Raw genomic sequence first — 14,887 nt, forward strand, 5'->3', positions numbered from 1 at the left:
TAATAATTAATTTATTATAATACTTTAATGATTTACTTTTGTATAGGTTACATATCCCTTGCCTGAAATGCTTGGGACCAGAGTGTTTTGGATTTTGAAATTTTTCAGATTTTGGAACATTTGCATTATACCACTTGAGACTCCCAAATCTGAAAATCTGAAATCTTAAATGCTCCCAGTGAGCATTTCCTTTGAGCATCATGTGGACGCTCAAAATAATTCGGATTTTGGAGCACTTCGGATTTCAAATTTTTAGATTTAGGATGCTCAGTCTGAATTTTAAAGACAGTAAACTGGCCGGGCACGGTGGCTCACGCCTGTAATCCCAGCACTTTGGGAGGCCGAGGCGGGCGAATCATGAGGTCAGGAAATCGAGACCATTCTGGCTAACACGGTGAAACCCCGTCTCTATTAAAAATACAAAAAAATTAGCCAGGGGTGGTGGCGGGCGCCTGTAGTCCCAGCTACTCGGGAGGCTGAGGCAGGAAAATGGCGTGAACTCAGAAGGCGGAGCTTGCAGTGAGCCGAGATTGCACCACTGCACTCCAGCCTGGGCGACAGAGCGAGGCTCCGTCTCAAAAAAATATATATATATAAATAAATAACCTACTTGAAGGCAGGAACTATATATATCATATATATAGTTGATATATATATATATCAACTCTGTATCATATATGTATATCATTTACATAATAGTGGTTTGCTGAACAAATTTCAGGACAAAAAGATGTGACTAAAACAACTGCAGAATTTTAGGGTTAGTTACAGAATTTATCTGAGGAAGAAAACTGCCCTTTTGTTTGAGGCAACTTTCCTGGATCTTTTGCCTCTGTCTAGTCTTGGGAAGCTGAGGCAAAGGTGGACTAACAATCGCGCATAATCATGTAAAAGGCAACATCACTGAGTGATGAGTAACAGGTTAACTAGTTCTACTTAGCTAACCTGAAATAAAATGATAGGTGGTTGGAGCCAGAGGATCAGTGAAAATAAGACAGCAGAGAGGAGGTGGTGCTTTGAGAAGCAAGCCAAGGTGAAGGGGCACAGTAAACTGAATTTAAGAGCAACATTTTCATTCATTCACTCATAATATGTGCTTGTTACATGCCAGACACTGAACTGCAATACCACAGTGAATGAAATGTAGTCCTTACATTATACTTAAGCAACTTATACCATATTTCCTAAATCCATATATTTTCCCTTAGCCACTGTTACTGCATTGTTGTCTAAAAGCCAACATTAAATTTTCTTTCTCTGCAGTGTAATATCCTTATTCTACAAATTAGGTAACTACAACTCTCTCGTAAAGTTTGTCAAATATTACAGGACTCATGTCACCAATGCATTGAGGAATACAACAAAGGCCTATAACCATGGTTTGACCAAAATAACCAGAGAAAACTATGGCAAAATTGAGAAATAGTGATAAAATAGGATGGTATAGTTATCAAAAAAAGAATCCCTAAGCAAGAATTGAGAACAAGATGAAAATCAACAACCAAAATAATGTAAGCACTTCTTGGGGTAAGTTCATAAACTTCCTAATGTTCTAAGAATAGAGATTTTAATTATTTTTCTAAAAAACATTAAATAAAAGAATAATCCCAGATAGCTGGAGAACTTTGGGAGACTTAAATTATAGGATGAATACAACACAAACCTCTCTATTCTGTCCACCTTCTCACTTAGAACATACTTCCCTCAGGCATACAACAGACTCATGCCAATGTTAGTCCCAAATTTCTCACAATATTGACTTGCTAATCTCTTTAAGTAGTACTTGGCTTTTTCCTTGGTCCCATCGATCCCTAGTATCTCTCAACTAGCTCTCACACAGAAAAACAGTATGATAGATGAATTCTTGAAATGATGCTAAATCACAGATAACAGCTTATTCTAAGAACACAGAAATATTTTAAAAGACTTCTGGAAACTGAAATATTTTTAGCCAAATGAATTTGTCATTAATGTTGGAATTTCAATCATATGAGCCAGACTGAGGGAAATATCTTTGGACACAGGGAAGTTTTCAAAGTCCCCAAAACTACGCCACTTTGGCAACCACTGGCTTGCCTGTTGGGGAGTTCAGCACTGTGATACCTTGTTCTCAGCTTCCCCTACCATTAGTGGGAATGGCAGATTGCAGAGATGGTAACAGTGGTGGCAGCACAACCCCCAAGCAGCGGCATTTGTATTAGACTCAGTACTGCACTTGAATTGGGAAGCAACTCAAAGTAAAACACACCTCTGCAGATTTTTATAGGAATAATAAGCCAGTGAGAGATGATCTATAGAGCTGGCTATAGAACAGTAGAATTCTCCATTATCTTTCTTCAGGCACTGATTTTTATGCCAACTCTGATTTTTTTGTCATTGTGCTTATCTATATTCAGTATTAATATAGCTCCTTAGTACTATCCTTGCTTTAAAAAGTTTATGAAGAACTGCATACTTTTGGGGTGACTGATAAGTCACAGTGCATTCCACTTGATGCTTTTGGTTGTTTATTCCTGTCCAACTTTATACAGATACTTACTGTGTACCTCCTATGCAATGAAAAGATTCTTTTAAAAAATAATTGAACAAATTCTCTCAAAATAAAATAAAAATTCACACTGATTTATAATTCTCACTAAACTGAGAGGATTTTTCAATATTCAGGAAAATATTGCCATATATTATTTATAAAAATTTGTTTTAAAATGTGTGCATCATATTTCACAACTGCTCTGAGTTGTGGTAAGAGGTGCTTAACTACTTCAATATGGCTTATCTTCTTGAACTTAGAAAAACTGTTTCAATTAGATTGCTAATGTTCTTACAATTATAAATAAAAGGCTTCCCATTCTAATATAGCAACTGATTGGCTATATCAAATAATTTAAAAATCCATCTTGATTCCAAACGCAGAATTAGGACTCTTGTCTTCCATTCAACCAAGCATGCACTCTGGATCAAACTTACCTGTTTTTTGGCAAAAATTCAGACACTCAGTAAGAACTAAAAATATACTTCAGTTCCTAGTAAAATAAGAGTTACATGAAGGTAGCTAAGTTAAGGCAAAATAACCAGTCAATCTAGGGAAAACATATTGCTTGTTAAAAATGTTAATACTGGTTTCAAAAAATGGGAATGGATGGATAAAAGGGGAAAAAGAAAGAAGCAAACCAAAAAATCTATGAAAGACTGAAGAGAATACTGCTGCTAATTTGCTTGCCTTCTCTATCTCAATTTCACTTTCAGTTTTCAAGACTTTTTTTTTACATTAATCTTCTCTTTATTTACCTCAACAGTTTTTATGAGTTGTTAGTGTATTTCACATAACTTTCTTGCAGACATTTTAGCTTTAAGGATTACTTGAGTTTGGTTTATATTAGACAAATTTTAATATTTACAGGTACTTTCCAGAGAAAAAGAAAAATGAAGTCACTGTTATCTGTCATCCAAAACTATATTTGTTTCCTTGGCTTTCATGAAAACCAGTATTTTACTTCCTCTTGCAACATGCTAGAGGTACACAGATATACTTAAATACCACTGTCTAACAAATATCGAATTAACGTGCTTCTGGCCAGAGTAACAGACCCATAGCCCCAAACCCAGCTCCAAGTTGGCTGACCTACCATGTGCATGCACATGTCCCTGACCTGAGAAACAGCGTGGCAAGCCCACCCCTGACAAAGCCTCACCACCACCACCAGAAACTCTCTCAGCCTAGGCTACTGAGACACTCATAAATGTCACCAGCATGGATTACACCTGAAGAAACTACATGGAGACTACATTACTGTGTTCACCTAGAACCAAAGCCAATATATCCCACCAAAACAACACCCCAAGACTTATTCATATGAATAAGTCTTTCCCTAGGAAACCTACTCCATAAAATTAGAAGAGGTAATTTTTCCACCAGATGTGTAGAAATCATTGTAGGAACACATCAAACATGAAAAAGCAAGGAAACATCAAACCTCCAAAGGAACAGAATAATTCACCAGTAACAGGCATCAATCATAAGGAAATATTGTATATTCATATTAAAGTAAGACATACCATAAGGAGTATGACACAAACTTGTCCCAAGCCTGCGAAGTGGAGAATTAGTTTAGGCTTAAATGGAGCCATTATATCCTTTTCCTAGTTATACTTGTTTTTCAAAAATCTGTATATAGTTTCCATTAATAGAGACACTCTGAAAAGGGGGAAAATATTCCAAGAAATATTACAAAATAATCTCAAATATTTCAACGCTATTCTGAACTACTGTCAAATCACAGTGAACCAGGGATTCTTCCTTTATCAGAAAGTAAGTCACTTTCTAAATACTTTCAACTAAACCTTATCTCAAGAAGATCCTGCAATAGCTCTTAATTGATAATACGCCAAGATCCCTGACTTCTATCAGGTCTATTTCTATCAGCTAATACTAAAAGCCAGATTGAAAGCTTTTTAAAAAATCTTATAAGAGAAACAAGAAATCTGTGAAAGATATTCAATTCATGGCCCAGTATGTTTAAAATAATGCTGTTATATGACTTTACTAGAAAAAAATAATTCAAAATAATGTTACATAGACCAAAAAGAATATATTCTTACTATTTTAAAATACTGATGGGCCATATAACATGTACACGGGTCTCTGAAAGTTAGTAATTCTGCTTTAAACAAGTACAACTTCAAAGTTAAAATGATAATCTGCTCTAATGGTTAAAATCAAAGTATTTTTTGTCTATGAATAATATTTACTCCCAGAGACTGCATGTCATATACTCTTCTATACAAAAACTACTCAACATTTACTTAATGTGTCCTTTTCTGGAGTGCTAATTTCATGAACCACAGATATCATTTAACTACAGAAAGTAATGAGTAGTTTATTCTTCTGTCATGTACAGTGTCACTGCATAGGATGCAATAACTGTATATTTAATATCAACTAAAGTAATTGAGATCATATCCATATTATGAGGTCTTCTTTGATGATATATGTCAGTACAATCTCCTAAGAGATATGAGTAGTCAGATGTATACTCAGTAGCATAAAATAAACAGGTTCATGACTGTATATCAAGATCAATTCTGTCAGAAAAGATCACTGCAGTTTCATGTCTCCTTGCGGGGGCAACCAACAATCTCAAGGGAATTACCAGATTCTAACTAAGGTCTAGGATGAAGACTAGTCTGAAGGACATTAAAATAATGGTGTGGTCACTCAAGGTAAAATACTCTCATGAGTACCTTTTCATTATTTTACAATTCAGCACTATAGCAGGGGTTATGAAGGAAAGCAAAAGAGGCCAGCATTATTTCCAAAACCAGATAAATAGCTGACGGTTTACATTTATTAAGGGCTGACAATTTATGTGACACGGTGTTGCAAGGATTATCTCATTCTGTCTTCTCCCAAACTCCCTATGAAGTGGATAGTATTATCTTCACAATTTACAAATGAGGTAACTGAAGCTTAGAAGTTAAGCAACCTGCCCAAAGTTGATGGAACCTACAAAATGGCAGTTGGGGTTTGAACGAAGCAACCAGGGCCTGAATACCACTTGCAACCTAAGTCTCCCAATAGGAAAGGAATATGGAACACTAAGACAACAACACAGCTCATTATTATATGTATTTAGATATCCATATCAAGTCAAATACTGCCCTACAATATTTTGGTGCTTTTAACACCTTAAGAAGAAATTTTTTATTTTCCTCATTCCCTGTAGAAAATCAATAACTTAGTGTTTGGGAAAAAACAAGCTGACCAGGTAGAAAAGAAGTTATACTTCTGTTAATCCAGGAAACTAAAAGATATATTTTATAAAATAAATATTGCAACTGTGTCAGTACTCCTTTCTACCTCACAAAAAGCTTAGTCATATGAACATGACTACTGTTTTTCACTAGCTGTCCCCAATCCTCACGTCACTTCCATCCTACCCTTCAAGCCTCACATCTGTATATACCTCAAGACAGAGATTATTATTTCCCAGTAAAATGAGAACCCCTTAACAAATCCATATGTATTACCTATAAGCAAGTAAACCTCACTTTGGGCATATAAAAGTCATAAAGTGACTTCAAGATCTCAGAAGTAGGTCATTTCCCTAATATAGTTTTAAAAAGGAAAGCTTCAATATTCTATCACTGACTTTCTCTTGCATGTGAATTCTGTGCCCATTATTAATTGAAGGGTCTTCTTTTATTTTTCATAAGATTCTGCCTTTTGTGGGCACCAGTTTCCGGGATGATGATGGCATCCTAATTTTCTTTTGCTGAGAAAAGGAATTTTAAAACATTAGTTTTAGGGTCAACTTCAAAATGAGATCATAGTCACTGAAGACCTCCAAGATCCATATATCATCCAATTATGTTTCAGAACAGGTATCCCTGAAGAAAAAGACAAAAAAAAGAAAAAAAGAAGAAAAAAAGAAAAGAAGTAAAATTCCAACTTACCTTATCACCTTGCATACCAGGGGGGCCCATTAATCCAGAAAGGCCTTGATCACCCTATAAACAAAATACAGACGTTTAATGTCATGAAAGAGAACTGAAAATTAGAATTCTCTTGAAAATTAAAGCTCCTTTTAATTTTGGACATCAGCTCTTATTACAATCATTTCCAATCTTCACAATCTTTGAGCCTGTTTCTGAGGCTTCCTGCCTTTCCTTATCTCTTCCAGGGCTTAATAACTGAACTGTATTTTCCCACCTCCATATCCTTGCTCCGTTTTCTCTGATGTTCTTTTCTGTAATAATGCCCTTGCTGTCAAACTTCGCCTCAGTCCAAGGTCTACCATGTTTTAAAAATTGAAAGTAGGGCTGGGCGCGGTGGCCCAGGCCTGTAATCCTAGCACTTTGGGAGGCCGAGACAGGTGGACTGCTTGAGGCCAGGAGTTCAAAACCAGCCTGGCCAACATGGTGAAACCCGTCTCTACTAAAAATACAAAAAACTAGCCGGGCATGGTGTCGGGCACCTGTAATCCCACCTACTCAGGAGGCTGAGGCCGGAAAATCACTTGAACCCGGGAGGCAGAGGTTGCAGTGAGCCAAGATCTCGCCACTGCACTCCAGCCTCGGCAACAAGAGTGAAACTCTGTCTCTGTCTCAGACAAAAAGAAAAAAAATTGAAAGTAGTTTCCCTAAAAAATCTACAAGTGCATTGTGAAACAGCTGTTGAGGTGTCACCCCTACTCCGTTTCTGTGAGCACCTGCAGCCTGGTAGGTCTCCCAGAGAGAATCTCACGGGCTGTGGTGGGACCAGCTAGGTTCACGTGACGCACAGGAGGCACTTCCGCTTCTGGAGCTGAGCTGGTGCCTTCCATCCTGCGTGCCAGCTACACAGAACGTCCCTCACCCCGGAGTAACGAGCGAAAATTGATTGGGAAGTCCATCATGTGCTTGGCTCGAACAGACTAGGCGTTACCGATTAGCGCTACCTTTTTTACATTTATTACTCTGATAGAAGGAAGATAAAACTGCACAAGGAAAGAGGAAACTAGAGGCTGGTCCTCTTCCACTAGCTTTAGTCATGAAGGAATCATTTAATTTCTCCTCAGATTCCTCCTCTGGAAAATGAGGTTGATAATGATGATGGTGATGATGATTATGTCAATGTCATCTCACCTGTCTTATGGGAAAGGAAAAACTTACACCATTTAAAAACGATCTATGCATGCTCTTTTTAAGCTCCCAAAGGGCTTAAAACCTTGTGTATGATCTATTACAGATGTTACTTAGTGGATGTTACATGGTGAAGTACTAAATCCTGCATTTATTTTTCTCTTTCACCATTGACCATACATTTATTGTTAAAAATGGCTAAATGGTTAAAATACAATTGTTTGCCCACCCCCTTCTACTTCCACCAAGTTAATGTTTATATTTTATTTGTATTCAGATTTATGTGTATAACCAGTTTCCTTTTTCCTCAGTATATTTGAATCCAATTTAATGTAAGTACAATTTCTAACAGATCATTTTTAAATTTTACCATTTTAGGAATACCTCTATTAATTTTAAAAGTTGGATTTTACTAAAGCTCTATGGCAATATACTATTAAATTTTATATCTTAATATGTTTCTGTTATAGTTTTAACCACAGTTAGTATATAAGTAACTCAAAAAGTGAAAAAAGACTAACATGCTTCCAAGTCTGAATTCCCATATTGAATCACCCTATATTTTGCTCAGAGAAGCCACAGGGAAAGATAAAACCAAGCATTTGATATAAATATGAATGTTTAATCTAGGGGTTTTACTTAAAATAGTCACCAAAATTGAGTGGGCCTCTAATTTCTAAATTTTAAGTTAAGAAATCAAATATATTATGTTTAGATATTTTAAAATATGGCACTTGTGTTTCTCATATTGCAGAATTTTGTCCTTGCAATAATTAAGACAGTAATGAAAATACTATGTTTATAGTAATAATCTATTCCAAGTTATTTAGACTCAGTGAACTCAGTTCCACCACAATAATAAAATTACTAAAATTTTAGATTTAAAACATGTTGAGTATGTACTCCCAAAATGTGTGTAACTATTGTATACCAGTAAAAAATTTAAAAACAAAATAAAATAATTTTTTGAGGATTTACTCTTTCATATAGTATCTGTAGAGTAATTATGTTTTTTTTTAAGTTTACAATTGTTTCTGTAAGCCAATGAAAAGATCAGATTTCAAACTTTATGATAGTTTCTGTAAGCCAATAAGATCAGATCGATTTTGTAACCACCAAAATTGTTCAGGGATTTTTAAAGTTTGTGAATGTATACTACATTAAAAAACACATCCCATAATTATATTACATTTATAAAGTGCCTGTCTAAACAAAACTTCCCAGATGTCCTCCTAAGACTCCATTTGTATTTATCCTCACTAGAAAACAGTATCCTTCTCCCAATAAAGTTTTTGTAGTTATCTTTGCTTTAAAACTAGTTTTTACTAAAATATGTATATGTTTGTATTGGCAGTGTTAGGATGAAATGAAAGCATACTGGACAAGAAGTCCAAAAATTTGGATATATCATCAACTCTGTCATTTACTGTCCATGTGATAAGTCAGTTAAAATCTATGAATTCTGTTTTCTCAATGGGAAAACAAGATAGTGGTGACCGCTTCTCTCACAGAGAGTACCATGGTACTTAAACATCATAAAGTATGTGAAACTATTCTAAAAATATGTAAATTGGCATTACAATTTATATATTATTGTGTACATATGTATTAACAGCAAAATGTCTGCAGTTAGGACCACATCCTGTTGTAATTTTTACCCCATCCACCCCCTCATTGGCAGATAGTACAGTGGCAGGCCACAGTAGACCTTTAATAAAAGTAATGTTAAGACTTAAATCAATAAGTGAAACTGGTGATAAAATTTACTTAATTCTTCAAATAGTTCTTCCTTCATTAAAATCCAACAATTAATTCTCATGTTTTTTTCCTGTCTGATACAGTAAAATCTACATTTAAAAATGCTTAAATTATTTTAAAATGCTTGAAATATATTACCATAATTTCATTTCATGGTCAAATAATTACCTTTTCTCCAGGAACAGGTTGACCTGGGGAAAATCCTGGATCTCCTTTGGGGCCCTAAATAAAATAGTTATAAAACAGTTGGTGAAGCATAAGTTGCATATAATGTGTCATATATCTTCAGGTATTTATTACCAGATGTTATATACATTATATGGTGTTAAATAAAATAATTTTACATTGAGATAGGCATTGGTTATTTCATTTTTTAATGTATATTTTTCTTAGCCTTATTTTTAAATGATGAGAAGATTCCTAAAAGTTCTCTAGACATAGTTGATTTTTTAATCTAATAAATTTAAAGTTATACTACTATTGAAACATTTTTCTTGAAGGACCTAGGTAGATTTATTATTTTTTCCATTTTTGTGACATATTGAGTTGTTATTCCTATTTTAGCATTGAAAGACTATTACTTTAGTAAAAGAAAACTTCTTATAATAATCCTTAAAATTCTAAGATATCATTCCAAGTTTAAATATTTTCCAAAATATTACAATGCACATGTATTACTTTTATTATTAAGAAAAATGAACATAAAAAAGATACCTCTAATCCACAAAATTCTTTTTATTCTGTTATAAAATTAGATAAGTTTCACAGTGTGGGGATCTTTATCTTTTACATTTCAAGATAAATATGACATTAGGTTTCAGCTAAAGTTTTTGGGTACAATATCAAAATATTTTTATGATGCATAGTAGCAAAGTAACTCTTTTTCAAACAATTTGTCATATCTCAAAATATAGGGGCCACAATGGAGATTCTTTAAAATTCAAATTCTGATTTTATTACCATTCTCAACTAAGAATAAATAATTCTCCTTCCTAGATACTTCTAAATACTATTTTCACTGGGAAATAGTCATATCTTCTTTACATATTCAGAGATGCTTTTAAATGACACTTAAGCTGACTGATGAAGGATGAAATACCAAAAGAAAAGTCCTGCGTGTCCCCCAGTAAGTATTTTCATTTTACAAATTAGAAATGAACCCTCACTGGCAGAGTCCTGTATTCTATAGTCAAAGAAAAATTCTACATTGTGTAAGGAAGGGGGGTCCAGTTTTAATGTTCTGTATATGGCTAGCCAGTCATCCCAGCACCATTTATTGAATAGGGAATCCTTTCCCCATTGCTCGCTTTTGTCAGGTTTTTCGAAGATCAGATAGTTGTAGGTGTGCAGTCTTATTTCTGTGTTCTCTATTCTATTCCATTGGTCTATGTGTCTGTGGATTAAAGACTTAAATGTAAAACCCAAAACTATAAAAACCATGGAAGACAACCTAGGCAATATGATTTAGTACATAGGCACAGGCAAAGATTTCATGATGAAGACACCAAAGGCAATCGCAAAAAAACAAAAATTGACAAATGGGATCTAATTAAACCAAAGAGGTTCTGCACAGAAAAAGAAACTATCAACAGTGTAAACAAACAACCTACAGAATGGGAGAACATTTTTGCAAACTATGCATCCAACAAAGGTCAAATACCCAGCATGTATAGGAACTTAAACAAATTTACCAGAAAAATACAAACAACCCCATTAAAAAGTGTGCAAGGGATATGAAAAGAAACTTTTCAAAAGAGGACATAAATGCAGCCAACAAGCATATGAAAAAAATCTCAACATTACTGATCATTAGAGAAATGCAATTCAAAACCACAATGAGATACCGTCTCACAACAGACAGAATGGCTATTTTGAAAAAGTCAAAAAATAACAGATGCTGGTGACGTTGCGGAGAAAAAGAAATGCTTATACACTGTTGGTGGGAGTATAAATCAGTTCACCCATTGCGGAAGACAGTGTGGCAATTCCTCAAAGACCTAGAGACAGAAATACCATTTGACTCAGCAATCCCATTACTGGGTATATACCCAAAGGAATAGAAATCATTCTGTTATAAAGACAAATGCATGCATATGTTCATTGCAGCAGTATTCACAATAGAAATGACATGAAATCAACCTATATGCCCATCAATGATAGACTGGATAAAGAAAATGTGGTACTGTATATACACCATGGAATACTATGCAGCCATAAAAAAGAATGAGATCATGTCCTTTATAGGGACATGGATGGAGCTAGAAATCATTATCCTTAGCATACTCACACAGGAACAGAAAACCAAATACCACATATTCTCACTTATAAGTGAGAGCTAAATGATGAGAACACATGGACACAGAGAGGGGAACAACAGACATAGGGTGGGAGGTGGGAGAGGATCAGGAAAAATAACTAATGGGAACCAGGCTCAATACCTGGGTGATGAAATAATCTGTACAAGAAACCCCTAATGACACAATGTTACATATGTAACAAACTTGCACATGTACCCCTGAACTTCAAATTTTTTTTTTTCTATAAGGAAAGTTTGTCTTCCAGGTTGACCTCTTTTTCATCATAGCCATCACTGTTTGCTCCACTATTAAGGCTACAATTTTAGGTCATTGGTTACAAGGTTATGAAACCTAAGAAATGGCTTTGGTGATATCTTAATATTTAAAAACTTAACTCATCATCAAAAAAGTTAATATACTTAGAATTTATAAGAGTAATTAGAGCTTATCTAGTAAAACATATTTTGTAGATAAAAGAAGCAATAAAGCCCAGAAGAGTTAATTGACTTGCTAAGGATTACTTAGGAAAGTATTGGCAAACAATGTCCATTTTCTTTCTTGTATCACAATGCCTATTACAAATCTTATCTATTGGTTTTAATATATTTTAATCTTTTATTATAAAAGCTAACTAGTTGATTCAAGGCTATAATTTACAAAGATTTTTAAAATAAGAAATGATAGCCCTTGAAAAGTTTAAATATAATAAAACCCTTTGTGGCCAATGTTTTTATTATAAATATCATGTTAAAAATTCTTACGTTTAGATCCTATTTGAATTTTCTATCATCTGTCAGCTTTCTTAATATCATCAAATAATTTAATGTTTAATCTCCACTTTAAAAATTGATAGAGTGGGCAAAAGTAATCAATTGAACAATAAAAATTAGATTTTAAAGGGTACTTTTTCTTCATGTGTTATACATCTGGGCAACACATTTGACACATATATGTCAAATTTCTCTTTGTTCTACACAAATATGATTGAGTTAATTGATCAACTCATGTTTTAGAATGGGAATTTCAAGTCAGTATGGAGGAAATGCTCTTAACTTGGCTAGTTGTGGGCTGATCCTTCCTAATATAAAATGCATGCAGCGAAGACTATTGAATAATGCCAACTTTATCTAAAATGTCAAGGAAGTAGGGCATGCTTCTCTGCATTGAAGGAGAAAACTCCAAAATTTCTTATTTTCTCCCTCATTTTGTATCAACTGTTGGACTCTTGACACACTTTTCATCTTACTTGATTAGTTTTTCAAATCCCCTTTGGAATTATATAAAATACTTATAAATTCATTAATTAATCATAACTGACTCTGAACCTCAGTACCGACTTCCACTTACTTCTGCATGACTTTTGTTAAAGGAAGTATATATCCTTTTGACTATGAGTAAGAGGAAAAGGAAATTGCCTATTCTTTGTTACTCAAAGTTCCAACTATCCCACTGATCTGCTAGAGTTTAAAATCATTTTTATCAGAGTAAGTCTTTTAGTCCATTATTGAATCTCCAGAGGGCCCTCGGTCTAGGGAGGGAAAGTCCCCAAGGTAGAGGACCCATTAACATGTTAGAACAGATTTATCTTAGATTAGCATCTGCTCAATATAATTGAAAGAGCATTGGGATTTGGAGTGAAAACACCAAACAATTCATTTAAACTCTCAATTTGAGATTTCTTCTCTGTAAACTCGTATTAATAATAATGAGCTTTAGGACCAAATTCTCTATGGATTATAAAGGTATTAGTAGTCAGTACTAAAATTAACAGGACTAAAAACAATTATTATTAAAATCACTTTTACAATTGTTGCCATCTTGGAAAGCAGATAACACAACTTTTGAGTGAATTATTAATGAAGCAGCAAAACTTTAATAGAGAATAATTTGGAATCTAAAAATTCAGAGTAGGAATGAACTAAATTGTGAGAATATCACAAAGGAAACACTAAATGACATGACCTTGAGGTAGCATCATTTGGATATTCTTGACTTTGACATTACTAATAACCACATAAGCTTCATAATCTCAATTACACTCTCCAACCAACACTTCCTATCTTTAGCCCACTCTTCATAGGCCTCCACAACTTTAACATTTATTTGATTCACTTTAACATTTATTTATTTGAAGCTGCTAATATGTGGATCCTACCACATTTTCATTGGTTCATCCCCCTTATGGCCTCGCTTTCCTCCTCAGCCTAAATACAAGGGTCTAACATAGTCACTCCATTGCATACATAAATGACCCTACTTCCCCTTTCTCTCTCTGTCTTATAAGCTTACCTGGCAATTCTTAAATCTAAATTCTATCTATTCTGCACCTGCCTAACAGCCGAATGTGACTAAGAGAAAAAATTCATGTTGACAAACTTCACTTTAAATTCATAACTTCTTTCATTGTTTGGTCTTTTATTTAATGTGTCCAATAATTGTCTTAGTCAATTCACATTCCCATTTTTATAGATGATTATTTCATAACTCCTTCTCTTTCTTTCCTCTTAGCTAGTGATCTTGTTTTTAATTTTTATAAGTTCTCACAACCAAGTCTACTACCTCAACCTAACTCTGTTCTAAAATGCTCTGCCTTCTCTCATTAAACAGACAAATCCACCATTCTTTCACCAGGCTATCACTGACGCTCTGTTTTTCCTGCATTATTTTAACTTTTACTTCTCTTCAGAATAATTTCTATATACCCAGGATAATTTCCATTACAGTAAACATACTTTAAGTTTTGTCATCTTAAAAAAAGCTTTCCTTGAGCCTACATGTCTCCTTTCTGCTCCTTATGCTATTCCCTTTTAGAGTGAAACTCCTAAGTTGTTTCTGTTAGCTAGGAGACCTCCTCTCCTTTTGTTCTCTCTTGGACCTACTCTACACAGACTTTTTTGTCCCTACCACTATCCTACTTCACTTATCATTCTTTCTCAATCTTGTTGTTATTGTATTGTTGTTGTTGTTCTTCTTCTCCTTCTTTCTTCTCTTTTCTTTCTTCGTCTTTCTTCTCCTTTTTCTACTTCTCCTCCTCCTTCTTCTTCTCCTCCTCCCCCCTCCTCTTCCTCCCTCCTCCTCCTCCCTCCTCCTCCTCCCTCCTCCTCCCTTCTCCTCCTCCCTCCTCCTCCCTCCTCCCTCCTCCTCCCTCCTCCCTCCTCCTCCCTTCTCCTCCCCCTCCTCCTCCCCCCTCCTCCTCCCTCGTCCTTCTCCTT

The 14,887-nt window shown here is 34.7% G+C and overlaps 1 protein-coding gene across 20 annotated transcripts in view; it reads right to left on the reverse strand.

Annotated features, from left to right (window-relative positions):
• Positions 1 to 14,887, reverse strand: part of COL24A1 (collagen type XXIV alpha 1 chain) — a 427,752-nt gene that overhangs the window by 353,488 nt on the left and 59,377 nt on the right. For all 20 annotated transcript variants that reach the window (NR_146340.2, NR_146341.2, NR_146342.2 and 17 more), the window contains 2 exons: positions 9,547 to 9,600; positions 6,454 to 6,507 (listed from right to left, as the gene is read on the reverse strand). Coding sequence is in view for 13 of the 20 variants with exons in the window: in XM_047417004.1 (XP_047272960.1) it covers positions 6,454 to 6,507; positions 9,547 to 9,600 (108 nt within the window). In the remaining 7 variants the exon portion in view is untranslated. The remainder of the gene's footprint in view (positions 1 to 6,453; positions 6,508 to 9,546; positions 9,601 to 14,887) is intronic.

The sequence above is a fragment of the Homo sapiens genome, chromosome 1 (genome assembly GCF_000001405.40).
Source record: "Homo sapiens chromosome 1, GRCh38.p14 Primary Assembly".
Taxonomy (NCBI): Eukaryota; Metazoa; Chordata; class Mammalia; order Primates; family Hominidae; genus Homo; species Homo sapiens.